The sequence below is a fragment of the Homo sapiens genome, chromosome 20, assembly GCF_000001405.40.
Source record: "Homo sapiens chromosome 20, GRCh38.p14 Primary Assembly".
Classification (NCBI taxonomy): Eukaryota; Metazoa; Chordata; class Mammalia; order Primates; family Hominidae; genus Homo; species Homo sapiens.
In genome coordinates this window covers 53,505,135-53,528,116 of record NC_000020.11, presented here as the reverse complement: position 1 = coordinate 53,528,116, position 22,982 = coordinate 53,505,135, and the positions used below count along the sequence as shown (strand labels likewise).

General features: G+C 44.1%; 1 long non-coding RNA gene across 1 annotated transcript, besides 2 other annotated features; it reads left to right on the top strand.

Annotated features, from left to right (window-relative positions):
* Window positions 1-2,806: 2,806 nt before the first annotated feature.
* Window positions 2,807-11,199, top strand: LOC105372671 (uncharacterized). Its single transcript, XR_001754720.2, has 4 exons — window positions 2,807-3,241; window positions 3,352-3,463; window positions 10,749-10,855; window positions 10,945-11,199. It is a non-coding gene; the product is annotated as an uncharacterized LOC105372671 (long non-coding RNA).
* Window positions 16,722-17,221: an enhancer, noted in NCBI's record as "H3K4me1 hESC enhancer chr20:52127435-52127934 (GRCh37/hg19 assembly coordinates)". NCBI's record gives its function as "activates a minimal SCP1, AML or CMV promoter by ChIP-STARR-seq in naive H9 embryonic stem cells {active_cell/tissue: H9 hESC(naive)}" and the evidence as "EXISTENCE:reporter gene assay evidence [ECO:0000049][PMID:30033119]".
* Window positions 17,222-17,723: an enhancer, noted in NCBI's record as "H3K4me1 hESC enhancer chr20:52126933-52127434 (GRCh37/hg19 assembly coordinates)". NCBI's record gives its function as "activates a minimal SCP1, AML or CMV promoter by ChIP-STARR-seq in naive H9 embryonic stem cells {active_cell/tissue: H9 hESC(naive)}" and the evidence as "EXISTENCE:reporter gene assay evidence [ECO:0000049][PMID:30033119]".

The window sequence follows — 22,982 nt, the reverse complement described above, 5'->3', positions numbered from 1 at the left end:
ATCATAAGGTCAAGAGATCAAGACCATCCTGGCCAACATCGTGAAACCCCATCTCTACTAAAAATACAAAAATTAGCTTGGTGTGGTGGCACACGCCTGTAGTCCCAGCTATTTGGGAGGCTGAGGCAGGAGAATTGCTTGAACCTGGGAGGGAGAGGCTGCAGTGAGCCGAGATGGCACCACTGCACTCCAGCTTGGCAACAGAGCAAAACTCCGTCTGACAAAAAAAAACAAAAAAGGAAACAAAGCTACTTTGTTTTCCCTCCCTCCTCCCTCAGTCTGTGGACTGAGACTCAGGGCTGCCAGAGCTGTTCCTGGGATGGACACAGGGTCTCACCCACACGCAAAAGCTGCTATGTCTGAACTCTAAGCATCTTTAATACAGGCACACACGTGCACACACACACTGGTGACAGCAGATGTGTCTCCCATGGTGACCCCCAGCCTTGCTTTCACTCTTCCTTGTGCATGTCAGGGGGTCCGAGCAGGCCAGGAACCCTGGCCTCAAACACTGACAAGGGGTGATTTGAGTGGCTTCGGTGTGCCCGAGTGCAGGGCTGAGGCCACGCTTTTCCGTTGAAGAAGGAGTTTCAGGATTTGATAAATGACTGTTTAATGCTGGCAGGAGAGTTGGCTCATCATTGGGCAGCAACAATCATCATAATTAGAGACAGGCTAGAAGCAGAAGGCCCAGCCCTGCCGTCCTGCACTGCCTCAGAGCCTGACTCTTCTACGCTAACCCTTTCTGGGCCTTGGTGCTGCAGGAAGCCAGGGGCATCATCCAGAAAGAAGAATGTTCTCCGGGCAGCCGGCTGGGACCTCTGTGGAGCCATGAGCCTGGGTGTCAATGGGTCATTAAGCAATGCAGGAGAGGGCAGGAGAGTGGCTGATGTGTGCTGGGGACCCAGCCCAGGTGAGGAGCAGCCACCGTGCAGCGTGGAGCGTCACAGCCTTGCCAGGTCTTCCAACTTGTCAAGAGAGTACAAAAATTCAGGCTACTTTTGTGTGTGTGGCAGAATATGAGTAACATAAACTTTACCATTTTACTCATTTTAAAGCGTGCAGTTCTCCGGCATTAGATACACTCACATTGCTGTGCAACCGTCAGCAGCATCCATCTGCAGAACTTGTTCACCGTCCCAAACTGAAACTCTGTCCCTATTAAATGTGGTCTCCCCACCTCCCCCTCCCACCCCCTGGCACCCATCATGCTACTTTGTGTCTCTATGAATCTGAGCAGGTTATTTTTTTAGAGAATGAAATCTCCTCCTTTAAAAGTTTAGCCTCATTTACGATGGGCCACTGGAATGCACCAATGAATTTCTAATATACATCAACAAATTAACACTCCTGAAACTGAACTTTTGATTTTGATTTTTCCATCAAATGTGGCTTTGTGATTTTTTTTTTTTTTTTTGAGATAGGATCTCACTCCGTCACCCAGGCTCACTGCAGCAGCCTCAACCTCCTGGGCTCATGAAATCCTCCTACCTCAGCCTCCCAAGTAGCTGGGACCACAGGTGTGCGCCACCACAACCGGCTAGTTTTTTGATTTTTTGTAGAGATGGGGTCTCAGTTGCCTAGGCTGATCTCGAACTCCTGGGCTCAAGCGATCCTACAACCTCAGTCTCCCAACATGTTGGGATTACAGGCACGAGCCACTACTCACATCCTGGATGCACCTCTTAACTTATATGTGCCTCAGTTTCTTTATCTGATCAATGGAAATAATTATAGGACCCACGTAGTATGATTGTTGTGAGGATAAAATATGTTCATTACATAAAGCCAGTTAATGCTAATATTTTATTATAATTATAAAAAGACTTCTGTTACGATTAAATCTACTATTTCTCAATAGGTTGTAATTATTTATTTCCATGTCTGCCCATGTAAGATTGTGACTCTTTGAGAACAGGGACCGTATCTAACCAATTTGTGTTTCCCCAGAGACTGACTTATACTTTATTCTTATTTAGCAGGTGCTCAATTAATGTCTGGGGAGAAAAGGAAGTAAGAAAAGGAAGGAAAGAAGGAATGAGGATGGCCAGGCGGGGTGGCTCACGCCTGTAAACCAGCACTTTGGGAGGTCGAGGTGGGCAGATCACGAGGTCATGAGACTGAGACCATCCTGGCTAACACGGTGAAACCCTGTCTCTACTAAAGATACAAAAAATTAGCCGGGCGTGGTGGCGGGTGCCCATAGTCCCAGCTACTCGGGAGGCTGAGGCAGGAGAATGGCGTGAACCCGGGAGGCGGAGCTTGCAGTGAGCCGAGATCGCGCCACTGCACTCCAGCCCGGGCGACAGAGCAAGACTCCGTCTCAAAAAAAAAAAAAAAAAAAAAAAAAAAGGAAAGAAAAAAAAAAGAAAAGAAAAAGAAGGAATGGATGAGGTAATCCTCCCAGCGGTATGTCAGGACACTCCTAAGACACAAAGTCTGCAGAGCGGTACTTTTCCTAGGGTCTCCACCCTCACCCTGATCATAGGCGTGCAGCGTGCAGTCCCACCCTGTTTCAGCGACTGCCACTTAACAATCTGCCCTAAAACTTGGTGCTTAAATCTACAACCTATTTTCTATTACATGTATTATAAATTATGTACAACTTACATAATTATAAGTTTTATATAATGATGACATCTATTATTTCACAATATAATGTAATTACTTATTTCCACATCTGCCTTGTGAGACTGTGAATCTCACAATTAATTTATAATAAGTCATATATTACATATTATATATATAATAAACCTATCACAAACTATTGTATCTCTTGATTTTGTGGGTCAGGAATTTGGAAAATTTTTTCTGCTCCTCACTGGTGTTGCTGGAAGTCGCTCCACAGCTGGCAGATGAGCTGGCTGGGAAGATACAAGGTGGCTGCACTCACTATTGGGGGCCCTAGCTCGGATGCCTGCCAGGCTGGGCTCAGCTGGGACTGCCTCCTACACGTGGCCTCTCCAGCATGGTGACGTCACGGAAGCCTCAGACTCCTCACACAGATGCTGGATTCCCCGGAGGGAGTGTTTCCAGGGGTCCCCTGCAGAATCAGCAAGCAACGCTTCTGACACCTGCCTCGGAAGGGCCAGAGCACCTCTGCTGTTGTGGTCCATTGGCAAGCCAATCACTAAGGCTGGCCTGTACTCAAAGGAAGAATTAGATCCCACCTCTCCATGGGCCGCGCAGCAGATAATTCGGGGTCTTGGTTAATCTACCATGTTCTTTCTCTCCACTGCAGGTGTGTTAAACCGGAGGCCACTGGGTCTCTTGGACAACTAGCAGTGAATCTGTGAATCCCCTGAGTGCACAGTTTTAAATAAATGTGCAAAATGTGCATTTTTTTTTCAGGGAAATCTGAACTAACAAGATTTTGAATCACTCACCAAATGGCGGTCTTCCTTTTAACTGAGTCTTATCTCATCCTACTACAAAAATTTCCCAAGAAAATGTGAAGAGTCTTGTAAGTCTTTCCAATAATATAGAAAAACAAAAGTAATCCTTTAATTCCCTGCCTTGCCCAGTCCTGTCCCCTCCTCGAAAATAATCCTTGCTATGAATTGATGTGTATTTTTCATGATGTTTTCCCATGCATTGCATAGATAAGTAAGGTTTTAAAAAATACAAATAGCTTCATTCTCTTCCCACTTTTTTCCTGTAACTTGGTTATTTTTCACTTTTAACATTATGTATAGGGAATGAGTTCATGCTTGTAGTTCTAGACTTATCCCATGTTGAGGAATAGCCTCCTTGAACTCAGCCAGTGAACAATCTGTAATGCAGTACCTGCACCTGTTCCTCTACCAATTCACCTGCCTCCTGTTGTCAATTTTCCACACTTGCCAGCAGTGGTGCTGTAAACAGCCTCGCTTTACCTCCTTGTGCACATGTGAGAGTAATTCTCTTGGTAGGTACCTAGAGGTGGAATTGTCAGATAATTAGATATGTGCAATACAATTAGATTTTTTTATGTTACTTTAAGTTCTAGGATACATGTGCTGAACATGCAGGTTTATTAATAGGTATCCATGTGCCATGGTGGTTTGCTGCACCTATCAATCCGTCTTCTAGGTTTTAAGCTCTGCATGCATTAGGTATTTGTCCTAATGCTCTCCCTCCCCTTGCCCCCACCCCCTGATAGGCCCTGGTGTGTAATGTTCCCCTCCCTGTGTCCATGTGTTCTCACTGTTCAGCTCCCACTTATGAGTGAGACCATGCGGTGTTTGGTTTTCTGTCCTTGTGTTAGTTTGCCAAGGATGATGGTTTCCAGCTTCATCCATGTCCCTGCAAAGGACATGAACTCTTTCTTTTTTTATGGCTGCATAGTATTCCATGGTGTATATGTGCCACATTTTCTTATCCAGTCTATCTTTTTCTAATTTTTCTTTCTGAGATGGAGTCTTGCTTTGTCATCCAGGCTGGAGGGCAGTGGTGCAATCTTGGCCCACTGCAACCCTTGCTTCCCAGGTTCAAGCGATTCTCCTGCCTCAGCCTCCTGAGTAGCTGAGACTACAGGTGCCCACCACCATGTCCGGCTAATTTTTGTGTTTTTTTAAGTACGGATGGGGTTTCACCATGTTGGCCAGGCTGGTCTAGAACTCCTGACCTCAAGTGATCTGCCTGCCTTGGCCTCCCAAAGTGCTGGGATTACAGGCGTAAGCCACTGTGCCCGGCCCAGTTTTCATCTTTTTAATTGACGATAAAATGATTTACGTTGCATGACATGGGCTCACTGGTAACAGTGGATGTCATGTGTAGTGCCTGGCACATTGTATGTTCTCAAGAAAGCTTCCTTTTTTTTTTTTTTCTGAGATGGAGTTTTGCTCTTGTCGCCTAGGCTGGAGTGCAATGGCACCATCTCAGCTCACTGAAACCTCTGCCTCCTGGGTTCAAACGACTCTCCTGCCTCAGCCTCCCGAATAGCTGGGATTAAAGGTCCCACCACTGCGCCTGGCTAATTTTTGTATTTTTAGTAGAGACGGAGTTTCACCATGTTGGCCAGGCCCATCTCGAACTCCTGACATCAGGTGATCCACCCACCTCAGCCTCCCAAAGTGCTGGGATTATAGGCGTGAGCCACCATGCCCAGCCGAAAACTTTCTTTACAGGTTATTTCTGTTTGTGGCTTAGTCTCTCTCTGACAGGAAAAGGCTGTGCAATAGAAGGGAAGGTGTGCTTTGACCTTCAGGCTGTCATTTCCCCAGCCCAGCTCATGGGCTTCTGGTGGAATTCACTCTAACCCTGAGTCCAGGGGTGGACCTGGGATGCAGGGATTGGTAATCAGAACGTCATATTCCTCTCGCCAGTCACTGGTTCGGGGATAAGCATGTGACCCATTCAGAACAATGGCCAGGAAAATGCCACATGAGGAAGAGCTGGGATTAGTCTCAGCTCTTTCTGGGTTGCCTGGGGCACACAGGGGAGGAATGAACCAGAACAAAGTCAGAGTCTGCTATTAAGAAGGAAAGAGGCCAGGCGCGGTGACTCTCCCCTGTAATCCCAGCTCTTTGGGAGGCCGAGGTTGGAGGATCACTTGAGGCCAGGAGTTGGAGACCAGCCTGGCTAACATGGTGAAACCCCATCTCTACTAAAAATACAAAATTTACCTGGGCGTGGTGGTATCCGCCTGTAATCCTAGCTACCTGGTGGGGGCTGAGGCACAAGCATCGCTTGGACCCAGGAAGCAGAGGTTGCAGTGACCTGAGATCACACCACTGCCCTCCAGCCTGGGTGATTTTACTCCGAGTCAAACAAACAAACAAAGGAAAAGAATGATGGTTGCCAGGTAGATACTCAACAGTGCCCAGCGTCAAAGATGATCCCACACATAGAGATGAAGAAACTGAGGAACGGAGATGTGAAGAAACTTGTCCAAGAATAGCTGGTTAACTCCAGATCCCATGTTCTTAATCATAATACCATAATTTTCATTTTTGCTTGATTCTCTGTTTGGATTCTTCTTTTCCTTTTCTTTTTCCTTCCTTCCTTCCTTCCTTCCTTCCTTCCTTCCTTCCTTCCTTCCTTCCTTCCTTCCTTCCTTCCTTCCCTCCTTCCCTCCTTCCCTCCTTCCCTCCTTCTCTCCTTCCTTCCTTCCTTCCTTTCTTTCCTTTCTTTCTTTTCTTCCTTTCTTTCTTTCTTTTTTTTTTTGACAGAGTCTCGCTTTGTTGCCCAGGCTGGACTGCAGTGGCGTGACCTGGGCTCACTGCAACCTCCACCTCCCGGGTTCAGGCCATTCTCCTGCCTCAGCCTCTCAAGTAGCTGGGTTACAGGCGTGAACCACCAGGCATGGCTAATTTTTGTATTTTTAGTAGAGATGGGGTTTTACCATGTTGGCCAGGCTGGTCTCCAACTCCTGACCTCAAGTGATCCACCCACCTCGTCCTCCCAAAGTGCTGGGATTACAGGTGTGAGCCACTGCTCCCGGCAGATTTTCATTTTCCATGACTTTCAACAGATGGTAACCTCCTTGAAGGCATGTGCCATGTATGAGTCATTCTCCGGTTTATCCTCAGCACCCGACGCTGCTTGGCACAGAGTCAGGGATTAACAGGGCTCATATCTGGTGAATGAATGGGTGAACAAGAAACCTGTTCACAGAGTCCTAGATCTTTAGGTCTCTAAGAGATTCCATAGCCACTTTTCAGACTTTGTTGTACACACAAATCACCTGGGATCTCATTAGAAGGCAGGTTCAGATTCAGCGGCACTAGGGTGGGGCCTGAGATTCCGGATTTCAAACAAGGTGCTAGGTAATTGGATGCTATTGTTTCAAGAACCATGCTTTAAGAAACAAGGTCTAGACGGTGGTGCCATCCCAGTGGCAGTCACTAGCCACACATGGCTATAAGCATTTGAAACACAGCAAATCCCAGCCGAGATGTGCTGTAAATGTAAAATACATGCTAGGTTTCAAAGACTTATTTAAAAAGCACTGTAAAATGTTTTATAATTTAAAAAAATAAATAAAATAAAATAAATTAAAAAAAAAAGAGGCCAGGCGTGGTGGCTCACATCTGTAATCCCAGCACTTTGGGAGGCTGAGGCAGGCGCATCACCTGAGGTGAAGAGTTCATGACCAGCCTGGTCACATGGTGAAACCCCATCTCTACTAAAAATACAAAAATTAGCCAGGTGTGGTGGTGGGTGCCTGCAATCCCAGCTACTTGGGAGGCTGAGGCAGGAGAATCACTTGAACTCAGGAGGCAGAGGTTAGAGTGAGCCGAGATTGTGCCATTGCACTCCAGCCCGGGCAACAAGAGCAAAACTCCGTCTCAAAAAAAAAAAAAAAAAAGATATATGTAGGAATGAGAAACATCAAATTCAGGATAGTGGTTATCTTAGAGGGGAAGGAGAGGGAAGAGAGAGGTTCATAGGGATCTATTTTTAAAAAACTGGATATAATTACTTATTCATTGAAGAAAAACTACTGCTTAAAACAGTCCGTTTTGACTACAGAAGATATGGATGCTGTAATTTTATTGTTAAAATTTCTTCTACTGCTCTGTTAAATATTAGTTTTTATTTCTAAATAACTCGTTTCATTTTTTATGCTTATCACAGCCATGCATGCTTATGGCTTAAAGACTCAAATCAGTCTACAAGGTTTGTTGACTACATAAAGACAAAAAAAATTTTTTTAAGTGGTTGGTAGAAACAGAGGTGTTTGCTTTATTACTCTCTAATATGTTTTATAAATCTGAAGCATTTCATTAAAAAATACTCATAAAATCATGTGTAAGGCCAGGAGCGGAGGCTCACACCTATAATGCCAGCATCTTGAGAGGCCAAGATGGGTAGATCACTTGAGCCCAGGAGTTTGATACCAGCCTGGGTAACATGGCCAAACCCCGTCTCTACAGAAAATAAAAAAATTAGCCAGGCTGGTGTGTAAACCTGTAGTCCCAGCTACTCAAGAGGCTGAGGTGGGAGGATCACTTGAGCCTGGGAGTTGAAGGTTGCAGTGAACGGTGATTGCACCACTGGATTCCAGTCTGGGCAACAGAGTGAGACCCTGTCTCAAAAAAAGAAAATCAATAAACCTCCTTCAGAATTGCTCTGCGTCTACATATTTAGTGGTCTTAATCTTTTCTAAAACTTGAATTCACCCATCTCATATTCCACTAGCTTCTCTATTTTCTTGGAGTCATTTATCATTCTCACTTTTCTTCTCTACTTCCCACCCATCACATCCAAGTTTTGTCATTCAGAAGCCCTGATGAAGAAGGATTCTAATTTAGGGTCATAGGCCAGGTGGATTTTCTTTATTTCTGTTGGGCGTGGTGGTGGAGATAGTTTGGAAAGTGTTTTCAATATTATAATTACAGAGTGGATGACAGCCAGAGAGCTCTCTGCCCCTTTGATATCTTTTAAAAAAATGCCTTGAAGTCCCCACTTCCCAGTCGTATGCCGTTCCAAAGCTCTACCAAATAGTTCTGCTAATCCCTTGGGAGATTAAGAAATTTGGGGCCAATTTCTTTCTACAGAGCTCTGGTTTCCATGTGTGAGGCCTCTTCCTCTTCCCTACTTCCCCGAAACTCTGCCTCTCTCTCCTTCATCTTAAACTACAAAAACCCACTCAGACCAATCATTTAAAAGGTACTGAGGACTTTATTGGCCATTTTTTAAGGACAAACAGAGAAGAGTTTTACAAACCAACCTGCAGACATATTTTAAAGGGGTCAGTAGGCATTGCTCTACTTAAAATGTCTGTAGGGGGCTGGGCACGGTGGTGCACACCTGTAATCCCAGCACTTTGGGAGGCCAAGGCAGGCCAATTGCTTGAGTTCAGGAGTTCGAGACCAGCCTGGCCAACATGGTGAAACCCCATCTCTACAAAAAATACAAAAATTAGCCGAGTGTGGTGGTGGGCACCTGTAGTCACAGCTACTTGGGAGGCTGAGGCAGGAGAATCGCTTGAAACTGGGAGGTGGAGGCTGTAGCAGTGAGCTGAGATTATGCCACTTCACTTCATCTTGGGCAACAGAGCAAGACTGTCGCAAAAAAAAAAATTAAGAGTAATAGTTCATGACATGAAAATTACCTAAGATTCAAAATTCAGTGTCCATAAATACAGTTTTCTGCTAACACAGCCACTCTTGTTGGTTTGCATGTGGTCTGTGGCTGCTTTCCTGGTGCAAGGGCAGAGTGAGTTAATGGTGGAATGGACCGTATAACCTGCAAAGCCGAAAACACGGACTCTCTGGCCTTTTACAGAAAACATTTGCCGTCCTCTGATCTAATAATGTCTCTTCTTTAGAATGCCTGGGACTTCTTCCTCTGAATATATAATTTAAAAAAAAAACTCATCTTGAATATTACAGCAATGGGGCGTAGTCTCAGCTAAATAGTTATTTCCATAAAATATGTCCAAATTTCTGCTTTAAGTCTTTTGTGAAATGAGGCAGAACATAAATTTTAAAATGTCATAATAATAGGCCATAGGATTTAATCTCATGTTCACAGAAATATCATCTGTAAATTTTCTTATGAAGGAAGATAATGTATATTTTTCTATTTAGTTGTTTCTGGAGCCTAAGTCCAATCAGAAACATTATATATATATATATATTTTTTATTTTATTTTTATTTTATTTTTTATTTTTTATTTTTTTTTTGAGATGGAGTCTTGCTCTTATCCCCCAGGCTGGAGTGCAATGGCACGATCTCGGCTCACTGCAACATCTGCCTCCTGGGTTCAAGTGATTCTCCTGCCTCAGCCTCCTGAGTAGCTGGGATTACAGGGGCTCGCCACCACACCTGGCTAATTTTTGTATTTTTAGTAGAGACGGGGTTTCACCTTGTTGGCCAGGTTGGTCTCGAACTCCTGACCTAGTGATCCACCTGCCTTGGCCTCCCAAAGTGCTGGCATTACAGGCATGAGCCACCGCACCCAGCCATATTTTATACATATATTTTATTTTTGGAAAAAAGTCTGAATGTAGAGAGAAGTGGTCTTATTATTTCTCAGGGTCCCAGCATTCCAAGGCCAGGATCATTGTCATTGTCTTACTTCCAGTTTTTTGTTTTGTTTTGTTTTTATTTTTGCTCTTTTGAAATGAACATACTTTTTACATACTCTAGATCATTCTGAATGTAGAATTTTGCGTTTCTCCTCTTTGTTTCCCACCTATTTTTCTCTCTCTCTTTTTTGTTTTTCTTTTCTTTTTTATTGTTTCCCACCTATTTTTGGGAGGCGGAGGCAGGAGAATCGCTTGAGCCCGGGGGTCAGAGGTTTCAGTGAGCTGAGGTTGCACCACTGCATCCCAGCCTGGGTGACAGGGTGAGACCCTGTCAAAAAAAAAAAAAAAACGGCCCCCACAGCAGACATTTTATTTGTGTGTGTGTTTTTTGTTGTTGTTTTTTTAACGTCTTCAGGTTTTTTTTTTTTTTCCCCTATGGCTTTGTCACCCAGGTTGGAGTGGAAGACAATTTTTTCACAGACCCGGGGGTGGCGGGGAGAGGTGGTGGTTCCAGGATGATTCAAGCACATTCCATTTATTGTGCACTTTTATGATTATGACATTGTAATATATAATGAAGTAATTATACAACTCACCACAATGTAGAATCAGTGGGAGCCCTGAGCTTGTTTTCCTGCAACTGGACGGTCCCATCTGAGGGTGATGGGAGACAGTGACAGATCGTCAGGCATTTGATTCTCATAAGGACAATGCAGATCCCTCAACACTTGCAGTTCACTACAGGGCTCAGGCTCCTCGGAGAACCTAATGCTGCTGATGGTCTGACAGGATACGGAGCTCAGGCAGTCACGTGAGTGAAGGGGAGCGGCTGTAAACACAGATGAAGCTTGGCTCACTCGCTCGCCATTCACCTCCTGCTGTCCAGTCCAGTCCTGGTCAGTACCCGTCCGTGGCCGGGGGTTTGGGGACCCCTGCTGTATAGCGTATATTTTACTGATTTATTTATTTTCTCTCTTTTCTCTAGAACGACAGCCCTTTAAACAGAAGGACTCTGTTGTCTAGTTTTTTTACTGTTGTGTCCACAGCACCTAGAATGACTCTTGGCACATGGCAGGTACCCTATATATGTTTACTGAATAAACATATTTTTGTTTTCCTGAGGGCTATGGTGCTTGGGTACATATCAGAAGGACCTGGGAAGCTAGCTAAAAAAATATGGGGCCGGGCAGGGTGGCTCATGCCTGTAATCTCAGCACTTTGGGCGGCTGAGGTGGGCAGATCACGGGGTCAAGAAATAGAGCCAACCTGGCCAACATGGTGAAACCCTGTCTATACTAAAAATACAAAAATTAGCTGGGCATGGTGGCGCATGCCTGTAATCCCAGCTACTGGGGAGGCTGTGGCAGGAGAATCGCTTGAACCTGAGAGGTGGAGGTTGCAGTGAGCCAAGATCGTGCCATTGTGCTCCCACCTGGTGACAGAGCGAGAGTATGTCTCAAAAAAAAAAAAAAAAAAAAAAAAAAGCAATATGGGCTGGGCAAGGTGGCTCACACCTGAAATCCTAGCACTTTGGGAGGCTGAGGTGGGCCGATCAATTGAGGCCAGGAGTTTGAGACCAGCCTGGCTAATGTGGTGAAACCCCGTTTCTACCAAAATACAAAAATTAGCCGGGTGTGGTGGCACACACCTGTAATCCCAGCTACTTGGGAGGCTGAGGCAGAAGAATTGCTTGAACCCAGGAAGCAGAGGTTGCAGTGAGCCAAGATTGTGCCACTGCACAGCTGGGCAACAGAGCGAGACTCTGTCTCAAAAAAAAAAAAAAAGCAATGCCCGGGGCACCTGACACAATCCTAGGCACTCAGTTAAAGTCTGATGAAAACTAGATGATTGTAAGAGGCACCCCTGGAAATTGCTATTGCATTTATCTCCTAAGCTTTCAGCAAAATTTGTTATTTCTGCTTTAACAGAGGCAAGGAAAATAGTAAAATATATTGAAATTGGTTTGTATTAAAAAAACTCCTTTGTAGTTAGGGCAGTAAATTATAGACATAGGATTCAATATAGGCCATAAATTGAATATTTTAGTGTGAGTAGAGTTGTATTGAGTGTTCCTTTGGGGATTAGAGTTTATTTCCTAAGCTTTTGTTCACTACATCATGAGTCTTTTCAATAAAACGATCTCACTGCCTGACAGCCAGACAAGCCTTTCAGTGATGCGAGAGGATTTTATCGGGTGTGGTTAACTCAGAAAATTGTTCTTTGAAGATACTTTACGACCAAATATTTACTAATGTCCCCTAGCAGGCCTGGGTTAATGTCAGAATACCTAAGAAAGCAAATAAATGTGAGATAACCAGGACACACACACACACACATACACACACCCCTACTGCTTTTACTCTGCTTTAAGTAGACAAAAACCAAGAAATGTAATTTAAATAGAAGCTTGATGCTATCGTGACCTTAATATTAAAAGTTCTTGTGAAGAGGAATGGGATTAGGACTGGCGGGCACGTCACATAGAGATTTAAATCCATCCATTTATCCATCTGTTTGGAGCAGGTGGACATTTGCTTTACAACGCTAGGATTCAAGGCTTACAATTCATTCCTTTTCTTACCTAGGCACATTTTTGTATTTTTAGAAGAGAAGGGGTTTCACCATGTTGGCCAGGCTGGTCTTGAACTCCTGGCCTCGTGTGATCTGCCTGCCTTGGCCTCGCAAGGTGTTGGGATTACAGGCGTGAGCCAATGCACCTGGCTGCATTGTGTTTTTGAATATGTTTTATAATATGCACAATAAATTCATATAATAAGATGTATATATTATTTTTGCATCGCTAAATAAAGATCCATTGGGGGTTACAGGTGTGTGCACATCACCTTGGTAGTTTAGAGACCACTCTTTAGACCAATACCACTGACTTTATGAGCCTTCACCTGCGCACTTCCTTAAACATACTATTTCCCTGGTCCTGCTCCTCAAATATTCTGATTATTTAAATCCAGGGTGGGGCCCAGGAATCTGCATTTAACAGCTGCTCCAGCTGATTCTGATGTGTAATTATGGACAGACCAGGCCTTCTCAAAGTTTAATGTGCACAGTTATTACTCATAGATCTTGTTAAAATGCAGATTCTGTTCAGTAGCTAGAGTAGGTTCCAAGATTCTGCATTTCTTTTTTTTTAATTAAAAGATTTTATTGATATAAAATAAATGTAAATATTTTCAGGGTACCTGTGATATTCTGCTAACATTTATATAATATGTAAAGATCAAATTAGTATAATTGGGATATCTATCACCTTAAATATTTATCTTTTCTTGGCTGGTCACAGTGGCTCACGCCTATAACCCCAGTACTTTGGGAGGTTGAGGCTTCCCTTTGTGAGGGAAGATTGCTTGAGACCAGCCTAGGCCACATAGTGAGACCCAGTCTGTATTTAAAAAATTAGCCATGTGTGGTAGTACACACTTGTCATTTCAGCTATTCAGGAGGCTGAGGTGGAGGGATCGCTTGAACCTAGGGGATTGAGGCTGCAGTGAGCTATGATTGCATTACTGCACTCCACCCTGGGTGACAGAGTAAACCCTATCTCAAAAAAAAGTTCTTTCTTTATGCTATGAATATTTAAATTATTCTCTTCTAGCTAGATGGAAATGTACAATAGATTATTGCTAACTATAGTCGCCCTACTGATCTATTGAACACGAGAAGATTATTTGTTCTAACTTTATATTTGTACTCATTAATCACCTCTCAAGATTCTGCATTCTAACAAGCTCCTGGGTAACACTGAATGTACTGCTCAGAGGCTCACACCTGGACTAGCAAAGGTTCGGACCTGGTTCTCAAAGTGTGGTGCTCAGAGCAGTGGCATCACCTGGGAGCTTTGCAGACCGGCAAATCATCAGGCCCCATTCTAAACCTATTGCATCCTGGGAGCAGGGCCAGTCACTGTATCATGCCCTGCAGGTGGTTCTGATGCTAGCTCGAGTCTGAGAAGCTCTGGTTTACGAGAGAGGCCACCAAAGGCCTCTCTTCTGTCTTCCTCCAGCATCTTCATTGAACAGCCAGCTTCAAGCCCGTCCTACTCCACAGAGGTGAGTCTTTGGCAACCCTGGAGCCCCCTCCTTCCAAAGGCCTGCCTTCAGAACCTCTCCCTGCATTCCCCAGCACAGCAGGCATGCCCAGTTCAGTCGAGATGACGGGGTTGCTGTTGAGAAGGCTGACAGGCCCTCTCATCAAGGCGTGATTGGCAGTGCTCTAATCAGCAGAAAGAGAATGGCGCGCCTCTAGAATGATGTTTGCTCTGTAAATATTTGACATTATCTACCCTGAAAACCTGAAAGAGAACTTCATTTTTCTTTCTTTTTCTGGGAATACAGCAAGTCACGGAACACCCATAAGTATAATTAGTCTGACAAGGGAGTTTCTGATTGGGGCTGGGGACCTCGGATGTGGGAACAGTCGTAGGCGTCTTTGTCTCTGCTGTTCAGGGAAGATGAGGGTTGCTCAGCTGTGGCCGTGGGAATCCCAGCTCCCTTAGCAAAGGCCTGTGCACAGTCATGAGGGCGCCTTGCGGATTCACATTCAGTAGGTCTGGGGCAGGGCCTGAGTTTGCATTTCTACCAAGCTATCAGAAGCCACCGTTCCTGCTGGTTTGAGGGCGAGATCTGGAGGACATTCTTACTACTGTTGCTGACTTAATGTCTGCAGATGATTCAGACGTCATTTAGGGTGTGGCTTTTGGCTTTAGATAGATGTGGGTTTGAATTCTTTCTCTACACAAGAATTCACATTACTTGCTGTGTGACTTTGGGGAAATTAGCTTGCCTCTCTGAGCCTGTACCACGGAATTCATGAGAACACCTACATTTTAGGATGGTGTTACTCAACCTTTTATTTTAAAAATTATTCATATTTTTCAAGACAGGGTCTCACTCTGTTGCCCAGGCTGGAGAGCAGTGGTGTGATCATGGCTCACTGAAGCCTTGACCTCCTGAGCTCAAGTGATCCTCCCATCTCAGCCTCCCAAGTAGTAGCTTCCCACCACAGGCACATGCCACCGTGTTCGACTAATTTAACAGATTTTTTTTTTTTTTTTGTAGAGATTGGGGGGGGTCTACCTACGTTGCCCAGGCTGGTCTCGAACTCCTGGGCTTAAGCAACCCTCCCACCTTGGCCTCCCAAATTGCTGGGATTATAGGTGTGAGCCTTTTTTTAAAATTGCCTTTTTATTTTTAATTGCTCCCTTGAGGAGTGTTTTAAGACATTTTGTTCCTACTTGTCCCCTCCCCATGAATTTTTTTTTTTTAAAACAGACCTACATTCTATGCCTTTTAATTGTTTCTTTCTTTCTTTTTTTTTTTTTTTTTAGACATAGGGGTCTCCCTTTGTTGCCCAGGCTGATCTTGAACTCTTGGCCTCAAGTGATCCTCCCCCTTCAGCCTCCCAAAGTGTTGGGATTACAGGCTTGAGCTGCCGTGCCTGACCCCATGACCAATGACATTTTAATATCAGAGATACTTACTATATTGTTTATGTTCTGTGGCCCTTTGGAAGGCCACAGACCATGGCAATCGCTAAGGCTTTTCATTCCCCAATAATTAATTTTTGCCCATTTGGGGGGGATATCACCTTGTTGAGCATGTGTGTTTTAAGGAAATTGTAAAAGAATTAAAACAGATTATTTGTGCCAAGAACCTAATGCAGAGTCAGTGCTCAATAATATATTAATGTGTATTATATAAGGTATGTTACTGATCGTACATTAACACACGTGATCTTCTTTCCCAGTCTAATACCCACATATTGAGTATGAATGGGAGAGCAAAAGAGTAGAAGGAGGCACTGTCTTGTGGCTGAGGGGATCCTGTGCTGTCACAGCGCAGTTCAGGATCTGAGGTTCGGCTCGGGTCTCCGTTTGCTCCATGGCTCTGCACAGCTGTAAGCTCTCCCACCTGGGCCTCTGTGTCTTCATCTCTGCCGTGCATGATGCACGTTTTCCTCTATAATGCAGTGAGGGCCCTCCAGAGGGACAGAATTTATAGGACATATGTATATATATATATTTTGTTTGTTTGTTTGTTTTGTTTTTTTAAGACGGAGTATCACTCTGGAATGTCACCCAGGCTGGAGTGTAGTGGTATAATCTCAGCTCACTGCAACCTCCACCTCCCAGGTTCAAGCAATTCTCCTGCCTCCGCCTTCTGAGTAACTGGGACTACAGGTGCCTGCCACCACGCCTGGCTAATTTTTGTATTTTTATTTATTTTTGTTTTTATTTTTTTTGAGACAGAGTCTCACTCTGTTGCCCAAGCTAGAGTGCAGTGGTGCTATCTTGGCTCACTGCAACCTTCACCTCCTGGGTTCAAGCAGTTCTCCTGTTTTAGCCTCCCGAGTAGCTGGAATTACAGGCGTGCAGACCACCAGGCCTGGCTGCTTTTTGTATTTTTAGCAGAAACGAGGTTTCACCATGTTGGTCAGGCTGGTCTTGAACTCCTGACCTCAAGTGATCCGCCTGCCTCGGCCTCCCAAAGTGCTGGGATTACAGACATGAGCCATCGTGCCCGGCTGGATATATGTATATATGGAAGGGAGTTTATTAAGGAGAACTGACTCACATGATCATAAGGTAAAAGTCCCACAATAGGCCGTCTGCAAGTTGAGGACAAGGAAGCCAGTAGTGGCTCAGTCCAAGCCCCAAAACCTCAAAAGTAGGGAAGCCGACAGTGCAGCCTTCAGTCTGTGGCCGAAGGCCTGAGATTCCCTGGCAAACCACTGGTGTAAGTCCAAGAGTCCAAAGGCTGAAGAACCTGGAGTCTGGTGTTTAAGGGCAGGAAGAATCCAGCACAGGAGAAGGATGAAGGCTGGAAGACTCAGCCAGCCAGCTTATCCCACCTTCTTCTGCCTGCTTTTTCTAGCTGCACTGGCAGCTGATTGGATGGTGCCCACCTACACTGTAGGTGCATCTTCCTGGGGGTGGGTCTTCCTCTCCCAGTCCACTGACTCAAATGATAATGTCTTCTGGCAACACCCAGACACACCAAGGTACACTCAGAAACAATACTTTGCATCCTTCAGTCCAATCAAGCTGACACTTAACCATCACAGGAGCATACCTGAGGCTGCTTGGAGCGAGACTATCACCCGGCCTTTGTCATGTGCACCACGCCAACGTGACTTCTTTGCGCTCCCACTGTGTCTTAGCCACAGGGTGTGGTGCTGGGGACGCAGGCTGGGGCATGAGGGGGAAGGCTGCTGGAGCCCTGCCCCTAGTGCATGTGGGAGACAAGCAGACAGCTCACATGACCGCAACTGCCAGGACCTTTGCAACAGCTCATGTGACTGCAACTGCCAGGATCTTTGCAACAGCTCATGTGACTGCAACTGCCAGGACCTTTGCAAGAGGGAGGTCCAGGGTGGGACTGGAGGGCAGGGGACTTTTTCTAAGCCGAGAGTCAGAGGCAGTCCTTAGGGGAAGCTGAAGGGTGAGGGACAGTGGGAAGACCAGGGTCCCAGCACATGCAAAGGTACGGTGGCAGGTGCTGGGATCCAGAGGACTCCAGTTTGGCTGGAGTGTAGAATGTGCTGGAATGGCAGGAGCCAGACCAGACAGAGTCTCAGGCCTGCTGAGTCCTTTGGAGCATATCTGGGGCCACAGGGGGACGATAAAAGTAATCAATCCAGGATGAGCGCAGGCAGGACAGGCTGGGGGCGCAGGAAGCTTGCCCTTACTTCTGAGAACATCGTGTGTTTTCCCAAAGCCGTTCGGTTTCCCTCGAGACAGGAGGAGCTTAGTTCTGGAGCCTGGGAAGCAGACCAAGGAGGGGCTGGAAGACCTAGAGGGGGAAGTGAGACACCAGCTCATATTTCAAAGGTCTTTGCTTGTCATGTTCACTTTCTCCGGGAAGTGCCTGTCCTCCATTATTCATCCTGCAGCCTCCAGGCCTCACCGGGTCTTCTTAGAAGTCCTGCAACACCTCTTGGTAATAGCATGGGCCTTAGGTCCCTAAAGTTTGCACATAGTGAAGAAACTATCATTTTTAAAGGGCCCACCATTTCCCAAGACTCATGCTAGGGGCTCACAAGAGTGTGGACTTTCCCACACCACAAACGTTAAGTCTGAATTTCAGGTCTACATGTCAAGTGGTGTGTGATACTGAGCAATGCGAATCTTCTCATCTGTGAAATGGGGGGTGACTAGTACCCTGCGGGCTGCTGTGAGAATCAGTCCATTTCTCAGCATGATGTCTTACTAGGCAAGCGTCACTACACAGCACATATGAAGGTATTAGCTAAGACTCATTTATGTATCTGTTTTTTTTTTTATTATACTTTAAGTTTTAGGGTACATGTGCACGTCGTGCAGGTTAGTTACATATGTATACATGTGCCATGCTGGTGCGCTGCACCCACTAACTCGTCATCTAGCATTAGGTATATCTCCCAATGCTATCCCTCCCCGCTCCCCCCACCCCACCACAGTCCCCAGAGTGTGATATTCCCCTTCCTGTGTCCATGTGATCTCATTGTTCAATTCCCACCTATGAGTGAGAATATGCGGTGTTTGGTTTTTTGTTCTTGTGATAGTTTACTGAGAATGATGATTTCCAATTTCATCCATGTCCCTACAAAGGACATGAACTCATCATTTTTTATGGCTGCATAGTATTCTATGGTGTATATGTGCCACATTTTCTTAATCCAGTCTATCATTGTTGGACATTTGGGTTGGTTCCAAGTCTTTGCTATTGTGAATAATGCCGTAATCAACATACGTGTGCATGTGTCTTTATAGCAGCATGATTTATAGTCCTTTGGGTATATACCCAGTAATGGGATGGCTGGGTCAAATGGTATTTCTAGTTCTAGATCCCTGAGGAATCGCCACACTGACTTCCACAATGGTTGAACTAGTTTACAGTCCCACCAACAGTGTAAAAGTGTTCCTATTTCTCCACATCCTCTCCAGCACCTGTTGTTTCCTGACTTTTTAATGATTGCCATTCTAACTGGTGTGAGATGGTATCTCATTGTGGTTTTGATTTGCATTTCTCTGATGGCCAGTGATGATGAGCATTTTTTCATGTGTTTTTTGGCTGCATAAATGTCTTCTTTTGAGAAGTGTCTGTTCATGTCCTTCACCCACTTTTTGATGGGGTTGTTTGTTTTTTTCTTGTAAATTTGAGTTCATTGTAGATTCTGGATATGAGCCCTTTGTCAGATGAGTAGGTTGCGAAAATTTTCTCCCATTTTGTAGGTTGCCTGTTCACTCTGATGGTAGTTTCTTTTGCTGTGCAGAAGCTCTTTAGTTTGATTAGATCCCATTTGTCAATTTTGTCTTTTGTTGCCATTGCTTTTGGTGTTTTGGACATGAAGTCCTTGCTCATGCCTATGTCCTGAATGGTAATGCCTAGGTTTTCTTCTAGGGTTTTTATGGTTTTAGGTCTAACGTTTAAGTCTTTAATCCATCTTGAATTGATTTTTGTATAAGGTGTAAGGAAGGGATCCAGTTTCAGCTTTCTACATATGGCTAGCCAGTTTTCCCAGCACCATTTATTAAACAGGGAATCCTTTCCCCATTGCTTGTTTTTCTCAGGTTTGTCAAAGATCAGATAGTTGTAGATATGCGGCATTATTTCTGAGGGCTCTGTTCTGTTCCATTGATCTATATCTCTGTTTTGGTACCAGTACCATGCTGTTTTGGTTACTGTAGCCTTGTAGTATAGTTTGAAGTCAGGTAGTGTGATGCCTCCAGCTTTGTTCTTTTGGCTTAGGATTGCCTTGGCGATGCGGGCTCTTTTTTGGTTCCATATGAACTTTAAAGTAGTTTTTTCCAATTCTGTGAAGAAAGGCATTGGTAGCTTGATGGGGATGACATTGAATCTGTAAATTACCTTGGGCAGTATGGCCATTTTCACGATATTGATTCCTCCTACCCATGAGCATGGAATGTTCTTCCATTTGTTTGTATCCTCTTTTATTTCCTTGAGCAGCGGTTTGTAGTTCTCCTTGAAGAGGTCTTTAACATCCCTTGTAAGTTGGATTCCTAGGTATTTTATTCTCTTTGAAGCAATTGTGAATGGGAGTTCACTCATGATTTGGCTCTCTGTTTGTCTGTTGTTGGTGTATAAGAACGCTTGTGATTTTTGAACATTGATTTTGTATCCTGAGACTTTGCTGAAGTTGCTTATCAGCTTAAGGAGATTTTGGGCTGAGACAGTGGGGTTTTCCAGATATACAATCATGTCATCTGCAAACAGGGACAGTTTGACTTCCTCTTTTCCTAATTGAATACCCTTTATTTCCTTCTCCTGCCTAATTGCCCTGGCCAGAACTTCCAACACTATGTTGAATAGGAGTGGTGAGAGAGGGCATCCCTGTCTTGTGCCAGTTTTCAAAGGGAATGCTTCCAGTTTTTGCCCATTCAGTATGATATTGGCTGTGGGTTTGTCATAGATAGCTCTTATTATTTTGAAATACGTCCCATCAATACCTAATTTATTGAGAGTTTTTAGCATGAAGGGTTGTTGAATTTTGTCAAAGGCTTTTTCTGCATCTATTGAGATAATCATGTGGTTTTTGTCTTTGGCTCTGTTTATATGCTGGATTACATTTATTGATTTGCATATATTGAACCAGACTTGCATCCCAGGGATGAAGCCCACTTGATCATGGTGGATAAACTTTTTGATGTGCTGCTGGATTTGTTTTGCCAGAATTTTATTGAGGATTTTTGCATCAATGTTCATCAAGGATATTGGTCTAAAATTCTCTTTTTTGGTTGTGTCTCTGCCTGTCTTTGGTATCAGAATGATTCTGGCCTCATAAAATGAGTTAGGGAGGATTCCCTCTTTTTCTATTGATTGGAATAGTTTCAGAAGGAATGGTACCAGTTCCTCCTTGTACCTCTGGTAGAATTTGGCTGTGAATCCATCTGGTCCTGGACTCTTTTTGGTTGGTAAACTATTGATTATTGCCACAATTTCAGCTCCTGTTATTGGTCTATTCAGAAATTCAACTTCTTCCTGGTTTAGTCTTGGGAGAGTGTATGTGTCGAGGAATTTATCCAGTTCTTCTAGATTTTCTAGTTTATTTGCATAGAGGTGTTTGTAGTATTCTCTGATGGTAGTTTGTATTTCTGTGGGATCGGTGGTGATATCCCCTTTATCATTTTTTATTGCGTCTATTTGATTCTTCTCTCTTTTTTTCTTTATTAGTCTTGTTAGCGGTCTATCAATTTTGTTGATCCTTTCAAAAAACCAGCTCCTGGATTCATTAATTTTTTGAAGGGTTTTTTGTGTCTCTATTTCCTTCAGTTCTGCTCTGATTTTAGTTATTTCTTGCCTTCTGCTAGCTTTTGAATGTGTTTGCTCTTGCTTTTCTAGTTCTTTTAATTGTGATGTTAGGGTGTCAATTTTGGATCTTTCCTGCTTTCTCTTGTGGGCATTTAGTGCTATAAATTTCCCTCTACACACTGCTTTGAATGAGTCCCAGAGATTCTGGTATGTTGTGTCTTTGTTCTCATTGGTTTCAAAGAACATCTTTATTTCTGCCTTCATTTCGTTATGTATCCAGTAGTCATTCAGGAGCAGGTTGTTCAGTTTCCATGTAGTTGAGCGGTTTTGAGAGAGATTCTTAATCCTGAGTTCTAGTTTGATTGCACTGTGGTCTGAGAGATAGTTTGTTATAATCTCTGTTCTTTTACATTTGCTGAGGAGAGCTTTACTTCCAAGTATGTGGTCAATTTTGGAATAGGTGTGGTGTGGTGCTGAAAAAAATGTATATTCTGTTGATTTGGGGTGGAGGGTTCTGTAGATGTCTATTAGGTCCGCTTGGTGCAGAGCTGAGTTCAATTCCTGGGTATCCTTGTTGACTTTCTGTCTCGTTGATCTGTCTAATGTTGACAGTGGGGTGTTAAAGTCTCCCATTATTAATGTGTGGGAGTCTAAGTCTCTTTGTAGGTCACTCAGGACTTGCTTTATGAATCTGGGTGCTCCTGTATTGGGTGCATATATATTTAGGATAGTTAGCTCTTCTTGTTGAATTGATCCCTTTACCATTATGTAATGGCCTTCTTTGTCTCTTTTGATCTTTGTTGGTTTAAAGTCTGTTTTATCTGAGACTAGGATTGCAACCCCTGCCTTTTTTTGTTTTCCATTTGCTTGGTAGATCTTCCTCCATCCCTTTATTTTGAGCCTATGTGTGTCTCTGCACGTGAGATGGGTTTCCTGAATACAGCACACTGATGGGTCTTGACTCTTTATCCAATTTGCCAGTCTGTGTCTTTTAATTGGAGCATTTAGTCCATTTACATTTAAGGTTAATATTGTTGTGTGTGAATTTGATCCTGTAATTATGATGTTAGCTGGTGATTTTGCTCGTTAGTTGATGCAGTTTCTTCCTAGTCTCGATGGTCTGTATATTTTGGCATGATTTTGCAGCGGCTGGTACCGGTTGTTCCTTTCCATGTTTAGCGCTTCCTTCAGGAGCTCTTTTAGGGCAGGCCTGGTGGTGACAAAATCTCTCAGCATTTGCTTGTCTGTAAAGTATTTTATTTCTCCTTCACTTATGAAGCTTAGTTTGGCTGGATATGAAATTCTGGGTTGAAAATTCTTTTCTTTAAGAATGTTGAATATTGGCCCCCACTCTCTTCTGGCTTGTAGGGTTTCTGCTGAGAGATCCGCTGTTAGTCTGATGGGTTTCCCTTTGAGGGTAACCCAACCTTTCTCTCTGGCTGCCCTTAACATTTTTTCCTTCATTTCAACTCTGGTGAATCTGACAATTATGTGTCTTGGAGTTGCTCTTCTCGAGGAGTATCTTTGTGGCATTCTCTGTATTTCCTGAATCTGAACGTTGGCCTGCCTTGCTAGATTGGGGAAGTTCTCCTGGATAATATCCTGCAGAGTGTTTTCCAACTTGGTTCCATTCTCCCCATCACTTTCAGGTATACCAATCAGACGTAGATTTGGTCTTTTCACATAGTCCCATATTTCTTGGAGGCTTTGCTCATTTCTTTTTATTCTTTTTTCTCTAAACTTCCCTTCTCGCTTCATT